The 21,128-nt window shown below is 40.6% G+C and overlaps 1 protein-coding gene across 3 annotated transcripts in view; it reads left to right on the forward strand.

The window, feature by feature from the left end:
- POLR3B (RNA polymerase III subunit B) overlaps nucleotides 1,248-21,128 on the forward strand; it is a 152,451-nt gene continuing 132,570 nt past the window's right edge. For 2 of the 3 annotated variants that reach the window (NM_018082.6, XM_017019621.3), the window contains exons 1-7: nucleotides 1,248-1,451; nucleotides 7,370-7,402; nucleotides 10,016-10,072; nucleotides 10,158-10,222; nucleotides 12,775-12,850; nucleotides 13,083-13,183; nucleotides 19,859-19,950. In NM_018082.6, coding sequence (NP_060552.4) covers nucleotides 1,380-1,451; nucleotides 7,370-7,402; nucleotides 10,016-10,072; nucleotides 10,158-10,222; nucleotides 12,775-12,850; nucleotides 13,083-13,183; nucleotides 19,859-19,950 — 496 coding nt within the window. In that variant the 5' untranslated portion in view covers nucleotides 1,248-1,379. Of the gene's footprint in view, nucleotides 1,452-1,609; nucleotides 1,723-7,369; nucleotides 7,403-10,015; nucleotides 10,073-10,157; nucleotides 10,223-12,774; nucleotides 12,851-13,082; nucleotides 13,184-19,858; nucleotides 19,951-21,128 lie in introns of those variants that run through there. The other variant, NM_001160708.2, reaches the window with a different exon arrangement.

A 21,128-nucleotide genomic window follows, 5' to 3' on the forward strand; every position in this document is an offset into this window, starting at 1 on the left:
CCGAGATTGCGCCACTGCAGTCCGCAGTCCCACCTGGGCGACAGAGCGAGACTCCGTCTCAAAAAAAAAAAAAAAAAAAAAAAAAAAGAAAATACAAGTACTGAAATTTAAGTAGCTCTTTAGTAAATAAGAATAATTAACCTGGTGCAAGGGTTCTACCTTTATGAGGGAGAAATTGGAAAGCATATATGTACTTACAAATTTTCATAACTTTTCTTATCGTTGTAAAATATACATAAAACTTAGCATTTTAACCCTTTAAAATGATGTACAGGTCAGCAGCATTAAATACATTCACACTGTTGTGCAACCATCACCATTCTCCATTTACAGAACTTTTGCATCTTCCCAAACCGAAACTCCGTACCCATTAATTAATTGGTGCATTTTGCCTTGTTTTTTCTAATAGGATTTTTCTTTCTGTTGATTTGTATGAGCTCATTTTAAATTAGAGAGACCAGCCCTTTGTCTTCTGCCAATTTATTTTTTATTAATTCTATTTGTTGGTGATTTTTTAAAATCTGTTCAGAAAATTAAAAATTTTCCGTGGAATCATAAAATCGTGTTTAGATTATAAAATCCTTTATGATTTGACTGTTGCCGTCTTGAAAGTCTTCAACATCTCAATGTTATGAATATCTGCACTTACATTTTCTTCTAAGTTTTTGTTAACATTTCAATATTTAATCCACAAAAGATTCACTTACATGTATTTTTTCCCCAAATGGGTAATCAGCTCTTCAAACATTATTTACTGGACAGGCCATCCTTCCCCTACTAACGTAAATGTCATCTTTTCATATTAAATTTCTCCATGCGCTGGGTATTTACTCCTACATCTTCCATCTAGTGCTTTTGAGAATTTTCAACACTCTTCCATTACACGCATGTACCATCATTTATTTAATCAATCTTCTATTGGTAGGCATTTGGGACGTTTCCTGCTCTTCCATACTAAACAATGCATAGAATTTTGGACTACATTAAATAATTCTCTGCCTCAGTGGTTCAAGTTGCGTAAATTATGCGTTTACACTTTTCTTCGGATTACTTTTAAAATGACAACCACTATGTTTTGCTGGTCTCAATTACCAGAGAATTGGCAAGAAACCTGACAGCTGGGGCTTAGGATTCCCTGCGCCAGACCTCCGAGCTACACCAGAGGGCGTACTTTCCTTACTCGGCCTCGGCCACATCCGGGTTCCACCGCAGATTCGGGCAGGGAGCGGGCGGAACCTTTCTACCGCGTCTCTAGCTAACACGCACGGCGGGGACAGTTTAGGCCTCCGCGCACCGTTCGCCGGGAGTCTTGCAGTTTGCTTGGTGCAGGGAAGGCGGGCGCGGAGGTTCTATCTGTTTCTTCCTCCTTCGTGAGCAGCATGGACGTGCTAGCGGAGGAGTTTGGGAACCTGACTCCGGAGCAGCTGGCGGCGCCGATCCCGACTGTAGAGGTCAGTGCCAGGCACGCAGGGAGCGTCAGGGACAAGGATGCGCCCTGAGGGGGCGTTGCCCGGAGTGCTCGGGCCGCCAAGGGGGCGGGCTGGCGGTTTGTGCGCATGCGCCGGGCTTCTGCGCATGCCCAGAGCGTCGCGCTTGCGAGTCTTTTTTCCAGAGCCGGCCTCCGCGTGCGCGAGTGAAGGCTGATCCCAGAGGAGCTGTCAGCCGCTGCGGGGGCCGAGAAGCCCCGCTGCTGGCTCTAGGGTTGGAGCTCTTCCAGCATAGGTGTGCGTGGGGAGGACTGACCCTCGCACTTACTGTGGGGGACGTATTGCATGTTTGCAGTCTTACAGAGGACACGGGGCCAGGGAGCTCAGGCCATTTGCATGAGGCACCACAGCCGGCTGTGGGGGTAAAACCAGATCGTCTGAATTCCAAGCTAGTCATCTTTCCTTTTAACTTGAAGTTCCAGTTTGGGTTGCAGGGGAATTTTAAACGCCCTCAATATTTACTAAAGAATTTGCCTGTGTGTTTTCTGGGGGAGAGACTCCACAGCTTTCATCAGCTTCTCGGAAGTTAAGGACAGCTGCCCCACAGCGAGCTGCCCAGTGAAGTGCGGCTGTCGACATATTTTGTTATCTGATAAGGCACATTTTGTAATCTCTCTGAGCCTCAAAATCTACACTGACGTGGAATAGGGAAGTGGAGACGTGGCCGGAGAAGATAGCAAAGGAGAGATTTCAGGGAAAGAGAACAGGATACTTGAAACCTCCTCGGCAAGACCATTGGATGTTTTTGAGGAAGGAAAGTAAATCCAGTAGTATTAGAGTGAAGAAAAATAGAGGAGAAGAGATAAAAGACAGGGTTAAGTAAGGGTCTTGATTATGAAAAGTTTCAATAAACATCTGACAGAGCTTGGACTTTGTCTTGGAGCAGAGCTTTTGAAGGGTTTAAGCAGGAAAGTGACATGATCAGTAAGTCTATCGGATTATAAGAACCTCCTTGGCTAGGCGTGGTGGCCTGTAATACCAGTAGTTTGGGAGGCCAAGGCGGGCGGATCACTTGGGCTCAAGAGTTTGAGAACAGCTTGGGCGACATGGCAAAACCCTGTTTCTACAAATAATACAAAAATTAGCTGGGTGTGGTGGCGTGCACTTGTCCCAGCAACTCAGGAGGCTGAGGTGGAAGGATCACTTGAGCCTGGAAGGTCGAGGCTGCAGTGAGCCGTAATTGTGCTGCTGCACTCCAGCCTGGGTGACTGAGACCTTGTCTCAAGGAAAACAAAACAAAACCTCTTTATAATAGTTTGACAAGTTAAGGAAGTTGAATTAGCAGTTCCAACAGATTCAGTCTATAAGTGCATGCAATAGGCTGCTGATCATCAGGCAAAACTATTTTTTTTTTTTTTTTTTGAGACGGAGTCTAGCTCTGTCGCCCAGGCTGGAGTGCAGTGGTGTAATCTCGGCTGACTGCAACCTCTGCCTCCCGGGTTCAAGCAATTCTCCTGCCTCAGCCTCCCAAGTAGCTGGGATTACAGGCGCCCACCATCACCGCCAGCTAATTTTTGTATTTTTAGTAGAGACGGGGTTTCACTGTGTTGGCCATGCTGGTCTCGAACTCCTGACCTCGTGATCCACCGCCTCGGCCTCCCAACGTGCTGGGATTACAAGCGTGAGCCACCGTGCCCGGCTGCAAAACTGTATTTTAACCGTGAAAAGTGAATATCAAAGAGCCAGCATTCACTGAGCACTTGCTAATGTGCCAGGTTCTGTTTAACCATAACATGCATTATGTTATTTAATCCTCTGAAATAAGTACTATTTTCACCCCCATTTTGCCAGAGAGGCCCAAAGATGTTAAGTAAATAGCCTTGCATTAGAAGCCTGGTAGTGGCTAATCTGGAATTTGGACTCTTGTCAGTCTGACTCGAGTCTTCATCCCTAACTGCTATCGGACCGCTTCTCCAGAGAGCTGAAGAAATAAGCCTGGGAGATTTCTATTTCTTATCTGAATTTACACAGCTATGAAGTGAACAGTGCTATAATTCCAGCCTTCTGATTGAAGAATAACAGTTCCTCTTCCTGCACTCTGTATCCAATCCACCATCACCTCTAAAAAGTCCTGAGTTCTTAATCTATGCATATCTGAAACTTCATTCCCACCGTTTTCCAGCCCAGAACGACTGTCCTCTCTTACTTCCTAACTGGCCTACCTGGCACCTGACTTGTCCCAATCCAGTCTGTTCCTTGCTCTGCAGCCAGAGCTGTCCGTTTAAACACACAAACATGGTTATGTTGCTCCCTTGGTTAAAGTTCTTCAATCTCTGCCTATTGCTCTTAGGGCAAAATCTAGTGTTTACCATGTTTGTAATAAATTTCCTCAGTCTGACCAGTGCTTACTTCTCTAGTCTCTTTTCCCATGGTTCCCCCCTCTCCCTCCCCTGAGATCTTTCTACTCTGCTCAGTTTCTTCTGGATCGCTCTCCCCTTCCTATTTGTAGATTAAATCCCACATATCTATAATATAACTTCCCTAGGAAGGCCTTTCCTGATTCTCCCAGAAGATGGTAGATCTCTGCTACTTGCTGCCATTTCCTTTTAAATTGAGATATTAAAATATTTACTTAAACTTTCCAACTTCAGTGTTTTCGCTGCAACTTTTTCTAGTTAGGAGCTCAGTTTTACTTGAACTGGCCATGCCTGGTGTGTATTTTTTTGTGCTTATGGTAGCACAGCAGCATGGTAGTATGGTAGAAACAACACAAGCTTTGGAGCCAATTAATCAGTTACTTGTTGAATAAATATTTGTCAGTGTTACTGAGTACTTACCTGGTGGTGTATTATTCACAGGGTTTATACAAGTTCAAAAAATGTGTTTTCTGCCTCCCAGTGTGTTATAGGCTTATAGAGAGAGACGTGTAAGCAAGTGGAATAACATGCAATAGGTACTGTGATACAAGTAGGCGAGGGGTATTTTGGTATTACAAATGGTAGCTAGGATGTGATGCCTGAACTGAGTTTGCCAGATGTGGATGAAGTGTGGTGGTGCGGAAGCATTCCAGATAGAAGGAGGAGGCGTAGGCACAAGTACAGCTGCAAGCACAGCATATGATGTATGCCTCGCTGTGGAGTTAAGACATGGTGAAGAGGGTGGGGAGGCACTGAAGAGTTGTAGAGAATGAGGTGCTCAGCTGTGCACATGAGGACATGTACACTGGCTTTAGTGCTGAGCATTGAAAGGGACGAGCAGGAAGAGTAGTAAGGAAGTATTGCCGCAGACCAGCTGAAAGATTATGAGGGCCTCAACTGGCACAGGAGCAGAGGATAAATGCGAGGAAGGTTAAAAGGAGGTCGACTCAGTAGAATTTTTGTTTTCCTGTTGATTAAGAAGAGTCAGAAAGTTAGGACTCCCGGGTATCTAATTTGGGATTGACTGGGATAAATGGTGATATTCATTGAGATTGAGAATGGAGCTGGGGGAAGATTTAATTTTGGACATACTGATCTTAAGTAGCCTCTGAGGCTGTAAGGTATCACTGCCCAGTCAATAGTTGGAGGGGACAGGCCCATACCCAGTAGCTTACTGCAACAGTGATATTCACTCACTCATTTATTTATTCAGTATTTATTGGAGTCTTTTATGTGCCAGGCACTGTGGTAACAGGATAGACAGGGTCACTGCCCTTGAAAGAGCCCACATTTGGAACTGGGGGGCTGTGGGATGAGATGGGGGAAGCTAAACAACACTTTCAAACAGTGTTGTTTGAAATCCTCCATTCCCAGCCCTACTTGAGAAAAGACATCGCCAGGGATAGAACTTTGAAGAACACCAAAATTTGCAGGGTGGCAGAGAAAAAGAGGTGTGACAAGGCCCGGCCGGAGGAAGGAAAGACATAAGAGAATGATACCACAGAGTGTTATAAGACAGTGATCGGCATGGCCAAATACTGTGGAAAGGGAATGTGAGGGGGCATCAAGGGAGGTCTTTTGAAGTAGCAGCCTTGGTGACCTCTGTCGAGCTCTTTCACTGGCAGGTAGGTCAGAGTCCTGACTATAACGGAATGAAGGAGTGGGAAGTGAGGAACAGAGAAGCTAAATATGGAGTAATTTGGGAGAGATCGTAAGCTGAAGGGCAGGGAAGAAAGTAGTCAGAGGAGCTGCTGAGTCAAGAAAGTTTTAAATTTTTTTTTTAATGGGAGGATTTGAATACTCGTTTTAAATAGAACAGGTTGAATATCAAGGACTGAACTGGGGCAAGGTTTCCAGTCTTCAGGAGAAGGTTGGCAGGATTGTGTCTGTGGCGGAAGGGTTAGCCTTAGACCAAGGAATGGATGGTCCTTCCTTTGAAGTGGGAGGAAACGAGTATAAGAAGGGGTGTAGAGAGAGGAATTTGAAGATGTGGGAGTATTAGCTCATAGGGCTGCCGTAACAAAGTAACCACAAACTAGGTGGCTTAAACAACAGAAATTTGTTTTCTCATAGTTCTGGAAGTTAGAAGTCTGAGATCAGGGTGACAACAGAGCTGGCTCCTTCTGAGGGCTATGAGAGAGGATCTGCTCTGGGCCGTCCCCTACTACAGGTGTTTGCTGGCAATCTTTGGCATCCCTTGGCTTGCAGAAGCTTCACTGAGACCTCTACCTTCATCTTCACATGGCATTGTCCCTGTGTGCATCTCTATGTCCAATTTCTCCTTTTTTATAAGGACACCAGTTGTATTGGATTAGGGCTCACCTTAATGACTCATTTTACTTAATCACCTTTGTCAAGACCCCATCTTCAAAAACAGTCACATTCTGAGATACTGGGGATTAGGACTTTAGCATATGAATTTTGAGAGGGACACAATTCAACCTATATCATTGTCATTCTTCTATTTTTAAATTTAGGTGTAATTTATATAATAAAATGTATGGATACTAGATATTCAGTTACATTGGTTTTATAGTTATGTGCTCTATGTGGACATTGCATCACCCCAGAAAGTTCCCTTATGACCCTTTTCAGTCTATCCCCCCAAGCACCTTTTGATTTCCGTCATCATAGATTAGCTTTGCCTGCCTCTCTTGTTTTTGACTATACCCAGGGGTCTGCCACCTTCCCTGGCCACTCCTCGGTCTCCTTTGCTGGAGCTGCCTCCTGCTCCTCCTCTCTGATTGTTGGATTATTCTTGGTTGGTCTCACTTTGTGGAACTCTTCTCCATCTACATTCCATAGGTGATCTCATCCATCACGTGCCTTTAATTGCCATCCACTTGTTAATCTCTTCCTAGTTTATATCTCCAGGCCACTCCATTCCCGAATTCAAGACTCATTTGTTGCCTCCTTGACATTTCCACCTGAATGTCTAATGGAGATCTCAAGCTTAACACACCCAAACCAAATTTCTAGTAGCCCCTCCACACCTAAACCTGCTATTCCTACAATGTTCCTCGCCTCCATCAATTTTAACTCTATCCCTCTAGTTGCTCAGGCAATGTAGGAAGCAATCACCATATGTGTCATCCTTCTGTAGCCCTGAGATGAGCTCTGACCAGACAGTAGTTGAGAGAGAATGGGAGGGAGAAAGAACTCCCTTTGGGTCTTGAGACCCAGCTCTCCCACCAGACTCTCTGAGCCTTATTTTCCTTTTCTCAAACTGGCAAACTTCACTTAGGAAGTGTCATGAGAATAAAATAAAGGATTGAAAAGTGCTTAAAATCTTGAGTCATCAGGAAGAGATTAAGTTATATTCTGTTTAGGAAACCTGTAGTGTATGTATGTATGTGTATACATATTTATATGCATATGCACACATGTGATTTCCATAAAAATGTTTAAAAATTATTCTTTTTGTTTTGATTTACTTTCCTTTGCTTATTTTGGAACATTAAAATAACTTATGAAAGTACTGTTGCTGGTACAGAGTTCTGATATTCTTCTTGTTTTGGCTCACAGGAAAAATGGAGGCTGCTTCCAGCATTTTTAAAGGTAATTGTTTCACATTTAATAATAATTGGTTATTTTTCAGATGAAAAAGTCAAGAAATAAGCCATTTTTTAAAGATTAAATTTTTGTCATCAACATTTTTTGATTTTGTATAGCTGTGTTTGGAAATACAAGGAATTATAAGGTAAAATCCCTGCCTGAAAGGTGCTGGTTTGGAGAGTGGTAGTCTAATTTTAGAGAGAAGTAGTAGTACATGCACAGTAGCATGGCACATGATTAAAAACCAAAGTGCTATCAGCAAAAGAGCAATGGTCAGAGAGGGCCACCCAAATGAAGTGAGACATAAACCACATCTTAAGAGAAGAAGGTTTAAGCCTGAAAGCTGGGTGCAGAGAGCGTGGCTCAATCAAGGTGTTCAAGAGGAGCCTCCACAGAGTCTGCAGGAAATAGCGACCAGTCAAGAGGAGCTGCTGAATATGATATGATGTGGTGTCGGGCTTCAATTCAATTTCCAAGAGCTTATGCTAAGAAGTAATGAGTACCACAGTGAGAGACCACTTGGCACCCGCTAGGATAGCTATAATCAAAATCAAATGTTAATAAGGGTGTGGAGGAATGGGAACTATCATGCTCCACTGGTGGGAACGTAAAGTGTTATAGCCACTTTGGAAAACAGGCTGTCAGTTTCTCAAATGGTTAAACAAAAAGTTACCACATCCTCCAGCAATTCCACTCCTAGATATCTGTCCAAGAGACATGAAAACATGTGTCCATGCAGAAACCTGTACACAAATGCTCATAGCAGTATTATTCATAATAGCCAAGAGTGGAAACAACCCAAATGGCCATCAGCTGCTGGATGGATACACAAAATGGGATGTATCTGTGCAACAGAGTATTATTTGGCAATAAAAAGAAAGCAGGTACCCGCTGCAACATGGACGAATCTTGAAAGCATTGTGCTAAGTGAAAGAATGGAGACTTGAAAAATGAGGCCGGGCGCGGTGGCTCACGCCTGTAATCCCAGCACCTGGGGAGGCTGAGGTGGGCGGATCACGAGGTCAGGAGTTTGAGACCACCCTGGCCAACATAGTGAAACCTCGTCTCTACTAAAGATACAAAAAATTAGCTGGGTGTGGTGGCGGGCCCCTGTAATCCCAGCTACTTGGGAGGATAAGGCAGGAGAATAGCTTGAACCTGGGAGGCAGAGGTTGCAGTGAGCCGAGATCGCGCCACTGCACTGCAGCCTGGTCGACAGTGTGAGATTCCGTCTCAAAAAAAGAAAAATGAGTAGAGTTTTGTCTCTACTCATTTTGGACTCTACTCTAGAGTTCAGTTGCGTGTTATGGGCAGAGGGGAGAGTGCTGGGAAACGAGGCTGGGAGTTGTCAGGGCCAGTTTCCTGATCAGATTTGAAAGCCGTGTTAAGGATTTGGCTTTTCTTCTAAAAGCCGTAGGAAGCTATTGAGGAGTTTCTAAGTTGGGGAGTGACCAAGAATCAAATAAAATGGTCGTAAGGTCAAGAAGTTTCTTTTTCCCCCTAAGAGACCAGGTCTTGCTACATTGCCCAGGCTGGATTTGAACTCCTGAGTTTGAGTGATTCTCCTGCCTCTGCCTCCCGAGTAGCTGTGACTGTAGGAATGTGACACCTTGCCTGGCCTTTTTGTTATTTTTTAAAAGGAGCTGCACATAAATGGAGAAGAAGGTGCTGGGTGCTGGGCACAGTGGCTCACGCTTGTAATCCCAGCACTTTGGGAGGCCAAGACAGGCGGATCATTTGAGGTTGGGAGTTTGAGACCGACTAGCCTGGCCAACATGGTGTAACCCCGTTTCTACTAAAAATACAAAAATTAGCTGGGCATGGTGGCGGGCACCTGTAATCCCAGCTACTCAGAAGGCTGAGGCACCTGAACTGCTTGATGCAGGGAGGCGGACGTTGCAGTGAGCCGAGATCGCACCACTGTACTCCAGCCTGGGCAATAGAGCGAGACTCTGTCTCAAAAAAAAAAAAAAATTTTTTTTTTGTTAAAAACTAAGATACAAATACACACATTAGCCCGGGCCAGAATCATCAATATCACTGTCTTCCATCTCCATGCCTTGTCCCACTGGAGGGTCTTCATGGACAGTAACACACATGGAGCTGTCATCTTCTATGATAACAATACCTTCTTCTAGAATACTTGCTGAAGGACCTGCCGGAGGCTCTTCTTGAGGAGGGGTCATTCTTTTCAGAAATACACTCTATGAAATCAAATCAAGTTGTAAGTCATTAGGCGATAGGAATTTTTCAGCTCCATTATAATCTTATGGGACTGCTGTCAGATATGTGGTCTGTAGTTGAATGAAATGTTGTTATGTGGCACATGACCATATATTCATGTACTCATATTTTGATTTCCGAGAGTCAGATTGCTTCTCAAGGAGGAAAACTCTCGAGGATATGCTAGTAAGACGATGCAGAAATGGAATGAGAATGCATTAATGAAAAGATTTATTAAATAAAATTCATGGATTATTTTTCTCATTTTGATTTTGATAAAAATTTGATGTTCACCTATTATTAGATTCCATTATATGATCTATTATTTGAGCATATCATCAGTACTCTTTGCACTTTTGCTAACCTGTTTACTTTCTCTTTCTATCTGTTTAGGTGAAAGGCCTTGTGAAACAGCATATAGATTCATTTAACTATTTCATTAATGTAGAGGTAAGCATCAGATGTTAGAAATAGACATAAACTAAGGATTAATTGGAAGCCAGAGTCTTTGCTAATGTTGCATTTTCCACTGCAGATAAAGAAGATAATGAAAGCCAATGAAAAGGTTACAAGTGACGCTGACCCTATGTGGTACTTAAAGTAAGGAACCAACATTCTTAATTTGCTATGTGGGTTACATCTAACATTTTTTAAAGTGAGTGAAGTTGCTATCAAAACTCTTTTAAAATCATTGTCTTGGCCAGGCTCGGTGGCTTATGCCTGTAATACCAAGCACTTTGGGAGGCCGAGGTGGGCAAATCACCTGGGGTCAAGAGTTCGAGACCAGCCTGGCCAACATGGTGAAACCCTGTCTCTACTAAAAATACAAAATTAGCCAGGCGTGGTGGTGCACATCTGTAATTCCAGATACTCAGGAGGCTGAGGCAGGAGAATCGCTTGAATCTGGGACGGGGAGATTTCAGTGAGCTGAGATTGTGCCACTGCACTCTATCTTTTACAGCAGAGTGAGACTCTGACTCAAAAAAATAAAAAATGAAAAAATAAATCATTGTCTTTTATTAACTATAAAGTGCTCAAATTAAATTTTTAACTGGCAAATTATAATGAGCTATGGTTGGGAAAATTTTGAAACTATTAGGTTTTAAATATTTAAATTTTTATTTTGAAATAATGTTAAGCTTAAAAGAAAAATTGCAAAAGTAGTACAAAGAATTCTTCAATATTTTTCACCAAGCCTTCACTGATATTAACATCTTACATAACCATAGCACAATGATCAAAACCAGGAAGTTAGCACAGATACGATGTTGTCTACTAATCTGTAGACCTTATTTGATGTTTTCTCACAAATGTCCTTTTTCTGGTGTAGGAATCAATCCAGAGCTCCGTGTTATGTTTAGTTGTCTTGTATCCTTAGTCTCCTCAATCTTTCTTGGTCTTTCATGACATTGACACTTTTGAACAATCTAGTCAGTATTTGTAGAAGTTCCTTTAATTTGAGTTTGTATGACGTCTGATTGGGTTATACATTTTTGGCAAGAATACCACAGAAGCAATGTTTTATGCTGTTCTCACTGATTCGTATTGGGGTTACAGATGCCAATATATTTTATTACTAATGATTTTAACTTTGTTCACTTGATTAAGGTAGGATCTTCCAGATTTCTCCACTGAAAGGTTACTATTTTTCCTTTTGTAATTAATAAGTATCTTATAGGGACATTCTTTGAGACTATGCAAATACCGTTTCTCATCATAATTTCACCAACAGTTTTAGCATACATTGATGATTCTTACCTATAACAGTTATTATTGTGGGCTTATCTAATGGTGAACCTTTATTTCTATCATTCCTTCTGCAGTGATACTGGAATTCTGTACAGAATAGTTTCCTTTTCCCCTCACATATCTCTCTATATTAATTTATATCAATTTGGACTCATGGATGTTTTATTTTATTCTATGAGTACTATCATATATATATATCCAGTCCTGTCATTTTTCTGTTGTTCAGACTGTTTCAGCTTTGACCATAGGGAGACCCTTCAGATTGACTCTGGTGTCCTTTCAAGATGCCACCATTATTTTTTGAGCACTCCTTTGCTTTCTTGGACCGTAAGATATGGTTCATCTGGTATGCCCCCATCCCAGATTGGGAATCCAAGGAGCCCTAGAGTCTCCCTTTTATTGGAAAATAGTATTTAGATTCCAAGACATGGACACTAAGATTTCAGCAGGTAGAGCTCAGAAATATGTGTATGTATACGAACACATATGTGCAGACACATCTGTATTTCTTTATCCTATCCATTTTTACATATATTAAAAACCATGCAGACTGATACCTCCAATTTCAGTTCGACACTGCAGGACTCATTCTAACCTTTTCCCTTTCCTTATTTAACTTTTATCCCAATAATGAGAAATCTGGCTCCCATTATCTGCAAAATTTAAAAAAAAATTTTTCAATCCTAGACTATAAATAAAGTTTCAGAATTATTAACTCATACCTCTGAGAGATAAAATTTACTAGAGTGTAGGATTTGTGCACTGTCGTTTTTATCTTTAGCCTCTCAATGTCCAATCAAAATATTGTCTCCCAGGGTTACTTACATTAGTTCTTTTCTTTATTTTTTCAGTATGTGAGACATTATTATGGTTTAAGAGTTAGACTTGCACAAAAAAGTATATTCAGAAAATAGTTGTTCCACTTCCAGTTCTTTCCACCCTGTTCCCAGCCACTCTCCATAGGTAACCAATCTCATTAGTTTCCGCTTTATCCTTTTCATCCTTCTTTTGCACAAATGAGCGTTTTTTTTTTGTTTGTTTTTTTGTTTTGTTTGTTTTTGCCTTTATGGCCTCTTCTTTCTTTTGCAAATGATAGCATATCATCAGTACTCTTTACACTTTGCTCTTTCATTAAGTATCATTTTTAGGGAGCTGTATTTCCAGTATTTTTGTAAAGAGATTTGTAATATTTTTTAAAAGATACTTTGATAATATTTCCCTCCTTTGTAAAGCTATATGTACTATCACTTCAAGAAGATCTCCAATTTTAATATTTAATTTGTCATCCTTACCAAGATAAGCATTTATCAAAACATAATCTTTGTATTTGGAAGGAAAATAGCTTGTTTGCTTTTATGATCTTCGAAGAAGTATAATTCATACCGCACTAATTTGCTTTTCAGATATCTTAATATCTATGTTGGGCTTCCTGATGTTGAAGAAAGCTTCAATGTAACTAGACCAGTGTCCCCTCATGAGGTAATTATGAACCTTACTTTAATTGGACTTGTTTGCTTTAACTCAGAGTCTGCCCTTAATATATACTCTTAAAAGATCATTTAAAAATGGGATGGGGGGGGACATTCTTTGGAGAAAAAGGGATTAAAGTTCAATGTGGACCATAATTCTACTACAGAAGGAGCACTTTGAAGTGGTCAGGACCCTGTTGCAGAGAGGAGCAGTAACTGTCAGATTCCTGATTCTCTTTCAGTGCCGTTTGAGAGACATGACATACTCTGCCCCTATTACAGTGGATATTGAATATACCCGAGGCAGCCAGAGGATCATCCGCAATGCCTTACCTATCGGCAGGTGAGAAATGAAATCCGTATTAGAGCCACACTGCCTGGATTCCAGCCCCATGATGTGATCCCATTTCCTCATCTGAAAAATGCAGGAAATGCTGCCTATTTCATAGGTCCAATGAGTCAGCATGTGTAAAGCACTTAGAATAATGTCCAGCACATAGTCGTGGTTGTTACTATTTATTAATTGTGAAACCTTTTCTAAGAAGTTGAGGAAAATGTTTCCCTTTCCTACTATAACTCTGAGCTGCTAGGGAACCACTAGATACAATAGCCTTTCAGTGAACTCTCCTGGACAGGTCTTCTTGGTGGATAGGTATATTCTGAGATTGAGTTTTCCTGGAATTTAACTTTTTCTCATCTACAAGTATTTAAGGGAGAAGTTACTTATTTGCCTGGTACAAGTTTGGAAATGATAGCATCCACTTGCGTTTTTGCAATCTGCCCTTCCTGATTAGGGAAATATATTGACTCTCCTTTAGAAATGGACAAAACCCACAATATTGTGTGGTCAATAATGGTACTAGACTTTAAACTCAGTCCACATAATTTCTGTTCAAGTGTTTTTCCCCCTCTCAAAAGTGCTAAGAGCACTTTGAACAAACATCCATTTGTTCAATAAATATATACCAACTGCCTATCACTTCTTATGTATGATGCTGAGTACTTAGGTGAGTAAAAGATATACAAAATACAGTTCCTATTGGCTACCTTCATTCACAGCTATCAGGGAAGACAGGCATATGTAATTATGGCACCATTTGGTAAGGGGTCTAGAAGTCCAGATTTTTATGGAAACATGCAGGTTTAACAAATCCTCCTATACTTCCCTCAAAGGAAGGGGTAATTTGTATTGTTTCTCTCCTTAGTCTTCACTTAGAAAAATAAGTAAGATATTAAAATGTTCATCTTGGTTTTAGCAGGACTGTTTATCAGTGTTTTTTTTGTTTTATTGTTTTTTTTTTTTTTTTTTGAGACAGAGTCTTACTCTGTTACCCAGGCTGGAGTGCAGTGGCATGATGTTGGCTCACTGCAACCTCTGCCTCCCGGGTTCAAGTAGTTCTCTAGCCTCAGCCTCCTGAGTAGCTGGGATTATAGGCGTGTGCCACCACACTCAGCTAATTTTTGTATTTTTTGTAGAGATGGGGTTTTGCCATGTTGGTCAGGCTAGTCTTGAACTCCTGACCTCAGGTGATCCGCCCGCCTTGGACTCTCAGAGTGCTGGGATTACAGGCGTGAGCCACCGCGCCTGGCCTATCAGTGTTAAGGTGAGAACTTCTTTCTTTCTTGTATATGGACCATACTTGTGTCCAGTTAAATTTTGGACCATAGCTAAATTATGAACTAGATTGACTATTGTGAAGGAAAGGCAAGAGAGACTGGAGGAAAACATAAATTCATAAGATTGAGGGTTTAAATCCTGGTTTAAAGAGGGAGCATGAGTGGGCGAAGGACATGAACAGACACTTCTCAAAAGAAGACATTTATGCAGCCAAAAAACACATGAAAAAATGCTCACCATCACTGGCTATCAGAGAAATGCAAATCAAAACCACAATGAGATACCATCTCACATGAGTTAGAATGGCAATCATTAAAAAGTCAGGAAACAACAGGTGCTGGAGAGGATGTGGAGAAATAGGAACACATTTACTCTGTTGGTGGGACTGTAAACTAGTTCAATCATTGTGGAAGTCAGTGTGGCGATTCCTCAGGGATCTAGAACTAGAAATACCATTTGACCCAGCCATCCCATTACTGGGTATATACCCAAAGGACTATAAATCATGCTGCTATAAAGACACATGCACACGTATGTTTATTGTGGCACTATTTACAATAGCAAAGACTTGGAACCAACCCAAATGTCCAACAATGATAGACTGGATTAAGAAAATGTGGCACATATACACCATGGAATACTATGCAGCCATAAAAAATGATGAGTTCATGTCCTTTGTAGGGACATGGATGAAAATGGAAATCATCATTCTCAGTAAACTATCGCAAGAACAAAAAACCAAACACCGTATATTCTCACTCATAGGTGGGAATTGAACAATGAGAACACATGGACACACGAAGGGGAACATCATACTCTGGGAACTGTTGTGGGGTTGGGGGAGGGGGGTGGGATAGCTTTAGGAGATATACCTAATGCTAAATGACGAGTTAATGGGTGCAGCACACCAGCATGGCACATGTATACATATGTAACTAACCTGCACGTTGTGCACATGTACCCTAAAACTTAAAGTATAATAATAATAAAATAAAATAAAATAAAAAGAGGGGGCATGTAACTAGCATTTGTTGAATACCTGCTATGTGCCATACTATGATAGGCAATGTTGTTTGTTAGCTCCGCATTCATAAAAAAGACCTCTAGTCATTAGAATGCTTATATGTGCTATGCATTACCTAAATTACATATATAATCTCATTTATTTTTTGGAGTAAAAAGATTTTAGTTTAATCCAAATTATATTTGTACTTGGTTAGAAATCAAACAGTACATAAAAACATTTGATTCAAAACAGTAACCTCCCTCCTTCTCTCCCCTTCCTCACCTTTCGTCCCATTCCCAACTTCATAACTATTTCTGTTATTTTTTTCTGGGGGTTATTACATCCATAACTTTATTTTGTGTGTGTGTGTTTTTTTTTTTTTTTTTTTTTTTGAGATGGAATTCACTCTGTTGCCCAGGCTGGAGTACAGTGGCATGATCTCAGCTCACTGCAACCTCCGCCCCCCAGGTTCAAGTGATTCACCCACCTCAACCTCCCGAGTAGCTGGGATTACAGGTGCCCGCCACCACGCCTGGCTAATTTTTTTTTTATTTTTAGTAGGGACAGGGTTTCACCACGTTGGCCAGGCTGGTCATGAACTCCTGACCTCATGTGATCCACTCGCCTCGGTCTCCCAAAGTGCAGAGATTACAAGCACGAACTACCATGCGTGGCCAATATCCATAACTTTAAATGCGATGCTTTGACCTCTATTTCTTAATACATTAACTGTAGACATTATTTTTTCCCTCCTGATATACGGGATGTGGCTTAGCTTACCTGTGTCACCCACTTTGCTTCTCCCTTCGTCTTCCAATTTTTCCTTCTTGTTTTTAATTATCTTTTTGGTTACTGTAGTAACTGAAATATTCTTATATCTTCATGTCATATTACATAACTTTAGTCAGTATGTTCATTTCCCTTGGTATAAAATGAGAATATTCTTATTTCTATCTTCCCATTACGATTTCCCTTTTAACGTGAGTTATTTAGAAGACTTAAGATTTCCCAATTGGTGCTTTATGTCAATTTTTGGAACTTTGTAGAGACCTGTTTCTATAAATGTTTCATGTTTATTTGGAAACAAGAGGTATTCTCCAGTTGTTTTGTGCCATTGTCTGTGTATTTCCTTCAGATCAGACTTGTTAATTGTGTTGTTTAGACGTTTTGTATCAGCATTGCTTTTTGATTTGTTTGTTCTATCAATTACTACAATAGGTATGTTAAAATCTCCCACTATGATGGTGGATTTTTCCATTTTCCTTATGGTTTTGTGTATTTTTGCTTTTTTGAAGCTATGATATTAGGTGCATAGAAGTTTAGAATTGTTAAATCTTGCTAGTAAACTGAACCTTTGATGATTGTACATTTATCTTCTTTATCTCTTATAATATTCTTTGCCTTGAATCTTATTTTGTCTGCTCTTAGCATAGCTACATTTGCTTTCTTTTGGTTATATTTCTGGCATATCATTAAAAAAATTATTGTCTGTTTAATCTTTTATATGGGCTGGGCACAGTGGCTCACACCTGTAATCCCAGAACTTTGGGAGGCTGAGGCGGGTGGATCACCTGAGGTTGGGAGTTCGAGACCAGCCTGGCCAACATAGTGAAACCTCACCTCTACTAAAAATACAAAAATTAACTGGGTGTGGTGGTACATATCTGTAATCCCAGCTACTTGAGAGACTGAGGCATGAGAATTGCTTGAACCCGGAAGGCGGAGGTTGCAGTGAGCCGAGATTGTGCCACTGTACTCCAGCCTGGGCAACAGAGCGAGACTCCATCTCAAAAAAAAAAAATCTCTTAAATGTCCTTATGTTTTGAGTTTAGTTGAAGTAAACTGCATATGGTTAGATTTTTTAAAAAATTGTCTTGAGAATGTAGTTTATTTTTATTTGTTTTATATACATACATATATGCATATATATTGGAGTGTATATCTGTCAACTTATTCTATATTTTAAAACTGTCTAGCTTTTCATGTTTCAGGTTTTTTTCCATTTTTCTTTTTGGATAATGGAAGATTTTTTTTTTCTCACCCTTCCCCAACTGATTTAAAAGTCATATACAGTATTTCTGATTGTTTATGTTTACCTTAGAAATTTTGAAATGCATACTTAACAAAGTTTGAAAATAAAAAATACCTTTATTCTCTTCCTGGCAACAAAGACCTTAGAAAGCTTTAACTTGGATCAAATCAATCACTTTGACTTACATGCTTTTGTTGTACCAAATTTTTGTTCTATCTTGTTTTGTTTTGGTCTTTTTGAGACAGGGTCTCACTCTGTCACCCAGGCCAGAGTGCAATGGTACACTCATGGCTCACTGCAGCCTCAACCTCCTGGGCTCAGGTGATCCTCCCACCTCCAGCCTCCCTGGTAACTGGGACTATAAGTGCACCACCACACCTGGCTAATTTTTGTATTTTTTGTAGAGACGGGGTTTCGCCATGTTGCCCCCGCTGGTCTCGAACTCCTGGGCTCAAGTCATCCACCCGCCTTGGCCTCCCAAAGCATTGAGAATTGCAGGCATGAGCCACCATTTGTGGCATGTTTTTTTTTTTTTTGAGATGGAGTCTCGCTCTGTTGCCCAGGCTGGAGTGCAGTGGTGTGATCTTGGCTCACTGCAACCTCCGCCTCCCAGGTACAAGTGATTCTCCTGCCCCAGCCTCCTGAGTAGCTGGGACTATAGGCGCACGCCACCACGCCCAGCCAATATTTTTTGTATTTTTAGTAGAGATGGGGTTTCACCACGTTGACCAGGATGGTCTCGATCCCTTGACCTTGTGATCCACTTGCCTTGGCCTCCTATAGTGCTGGGATTACAGGCGTGAGCCACCGCACCTGGCCTCCTTGGCATGTTTTTTTCACCTATAAATTAGAAATTGTTATTGTCTTATGAAGTTCGCATTTGTTTATATCCACACACATTAGTTTCCATTTTCTTTGCTCACCATACATTTTTACACGTCAGACTTTTGGTTAGTGTTTATTTTCCGTCTTCCTGAAGATGAATTTTTTTTAGAAATTTATTTAGTGAGGGCCTATTAGTACATTAGTAACTTCTCTCAGTTTTTGTCTGAAAATATCTTTATGTTGACCTCATTCTGAGTGAATACGTAGCAGAATACACAAATCGAGGTTGGCAGTTATTTTCTCTTCAAGCACATTGGTTGTGTGCTTGACACACACTTCGAGCACACTGCTCTGTGTCATTGGTTGTTGTGAAGTTATTGTGCATCCAGTCATCCTTCCCTTTTTGGTAGCCTCTCTTTTTTTCTGGCTGGGTTTTAAACCTTATCTCTAATTTTGGTGTTTAGTATCTTGACTGTGATCTGCTTAGGTGTAGCTTTCTTTTTATCTTGTGCAGATGTTACCGTGAGGATTTATGGCTTTCATATGTCTTTAAAAATTTATGGCTCTTATCTCTTTGAATAGGACTTCTCACCTATTCTGTGTATTTTCGCCATCTAGAAGTCTGATTAGGTGTTGATTAGTCGCTCTCTCTCTATCCTTCCCTGACTCTTAAACTCTCTTTCATATCTTCCATCTCTACGTCTTTCTGAAATTCATTCTCAGTAATTTCTTCAGATGTCTTTTCCAGCCCAGTAATTATATCTTCAGCAGTATCAAAGCTATTATTATCCAACCTATTTCTACATTTTTAAGTTAGTGCTTAAAATTTCCATTTCTAGTACATTTTGCTCAGTTCTTTTTCCAGACTGCCTGGTTAGTTTTCATAGCCTCTTGTTCCTTACACTTGGATGCATTGTGCTATTGCCAAGTAACTGATGAGAATCACTTTGTCTTCCATGAAGGAAGTGTTGCTGTCATTTCTGACTCTCACTAAAGCCTGTATGCAAAGTTTAAACCAAACATTTGAGTTTTTTGTTTTTTTGTTTTGTTTTTTGAGACAGAGCCTCACTCTGGAGTGCAGTGGTGTGATCCTGGCTCACGGCAGCTTCCACCTCCAAGTTCAAGCGATTCTCCTGTCTCAGCCTCCTGAGTAGCTGGGACTACCGGCACACACCACCACACCCAGTTAATTTTTTGTATTTTTAGTAGAGATGGAGTTCCACCATGTTGGCCAGGCTGCTCTCAAACTCCTGGCCTCATGTGATCCACCCACCTTGGCCTCCCAAAGTGCTGGGATTATAGGCATGAGCCACTGCACCCAGCCTGAGTTTTTATCATCTGTACTAGACGAGCAGCGTGCCTGAGAAAATACTTCATTTTGCTTGGCTTCCATGTAATTGCTATTTCTCTGCCTTTTCTAACATGGTGCATAGATAGACCCTTAGTGAGGTGGTGTGCACTGCATGTTTTGTATTTTTTGCAGCTTTTATCATTGACAGCCTACATGTGATATTTTCTTTTGTTTTATTTTATACAGAATGCCCATAATGCTACGTAGTTCAAACTGTGTTCTTACAGGAAAAACGCCAGCAGAATTTGCCAAACTGAACGAATGTCCCTTAGATCCAGGTATGTGTGAAGTCTTGGATTTGTCCCACTTTCCTTATTCTTTTATTCTGCTGCTGCTGTGGTTTTAACATTTTGTCTCAAAAACAGTACCAGCTTTTCTACTTTATAATGAACTTGTTCACAAAACACCCAGAAATTTGTCTCTAGCTTTATGCTACTAGTCTGTATTTCTTTCTTTCTTTTTTGAGATAGTGTCTCACTCTGTCATCTAAGCTGGAGTGCAGTGGTGTGATCTCAGCTCACTGCAACCTCTGCCTCCCAGGCTCAAGCAATCCTCCCACCTCAGCTTCCCAAATAGATGGGACTACAGGCTTGTGCCACCATACCCAGCTCATTTTTGTATTTTTAGTAGAGATGGTGTTTTGCTATGTCATCCTGGCTGATCTCCTGGACTCATCCACCTTGGCCTCCCAAAGTGCTGGGATTACAGGCGTGAACCACTGCGCCTAGCCCTATTAGTCTATATTTCTCAAAGACATACTGTTTCCTCTTTTATTTCAGGCTTAAGACTTTAATATGACACATTCTTGTTTATTGCCATGATTTGTCAGTCTTTTCTTTCTATCTTTGCCCACGAGTTTCTTTTGGTATGCCTAAAAATTCAAGAATAATCTTCCAGAGTTACTGGCCTTGCCTGGTTGAAAAAAATCAAGTATCACACTTCAGGGTGTTTTAAATGCAGTAAAGCAGTAGGGAGATGAAAGTATTTTTTTGTTTACATTTTTAAAAATTTTATTTTTGTACCTATTTCTAGGCAATTTCTTTTGTAAAATTTCAAACTTAGAACTTAACAAAAAGTTTCTCTTAGTTCTTTAACTCGTATTTCACATTGATTTATTTGAACTTATAGTTGCTTTAATCTTATTCCTGTAAAGTTGCATTGTTTTAGAATCCCAGAAGTTTTGGAAAGAAGTTAATGAAGAATGTGACTTTACTAGACTATAACAGAATGTTGCATAAGTCAAATATGTTGTATTGTTTTTGCTTATATTCTGCAGGTATAAAATGAAGTATTACTTTATCCTACTCTGAATTGTGTGCAAAAAAAATACATGATGATGCATGAGTTTTTTTGAATATGGAATATTATTTTGGAAACCTAATCTTAATCTACCATTACCACTGATTTGTTAGAAAACTTAGAGTAAATTTGAGCTTATATTGAAAATTGTCAGTTA

Source organism: Homo sapiens, chromosome 12, assembly GCF_000001405.40.
Source record: "Homo sapiens chromosome 12, GRCh38.p14 Primary Assembly".
Classification (NCBI taxonomy): Eukaryota; Metazoa; Chordata; class Mammalia; order Primates; family Hominidae; genus Homo; species Homo sapiens.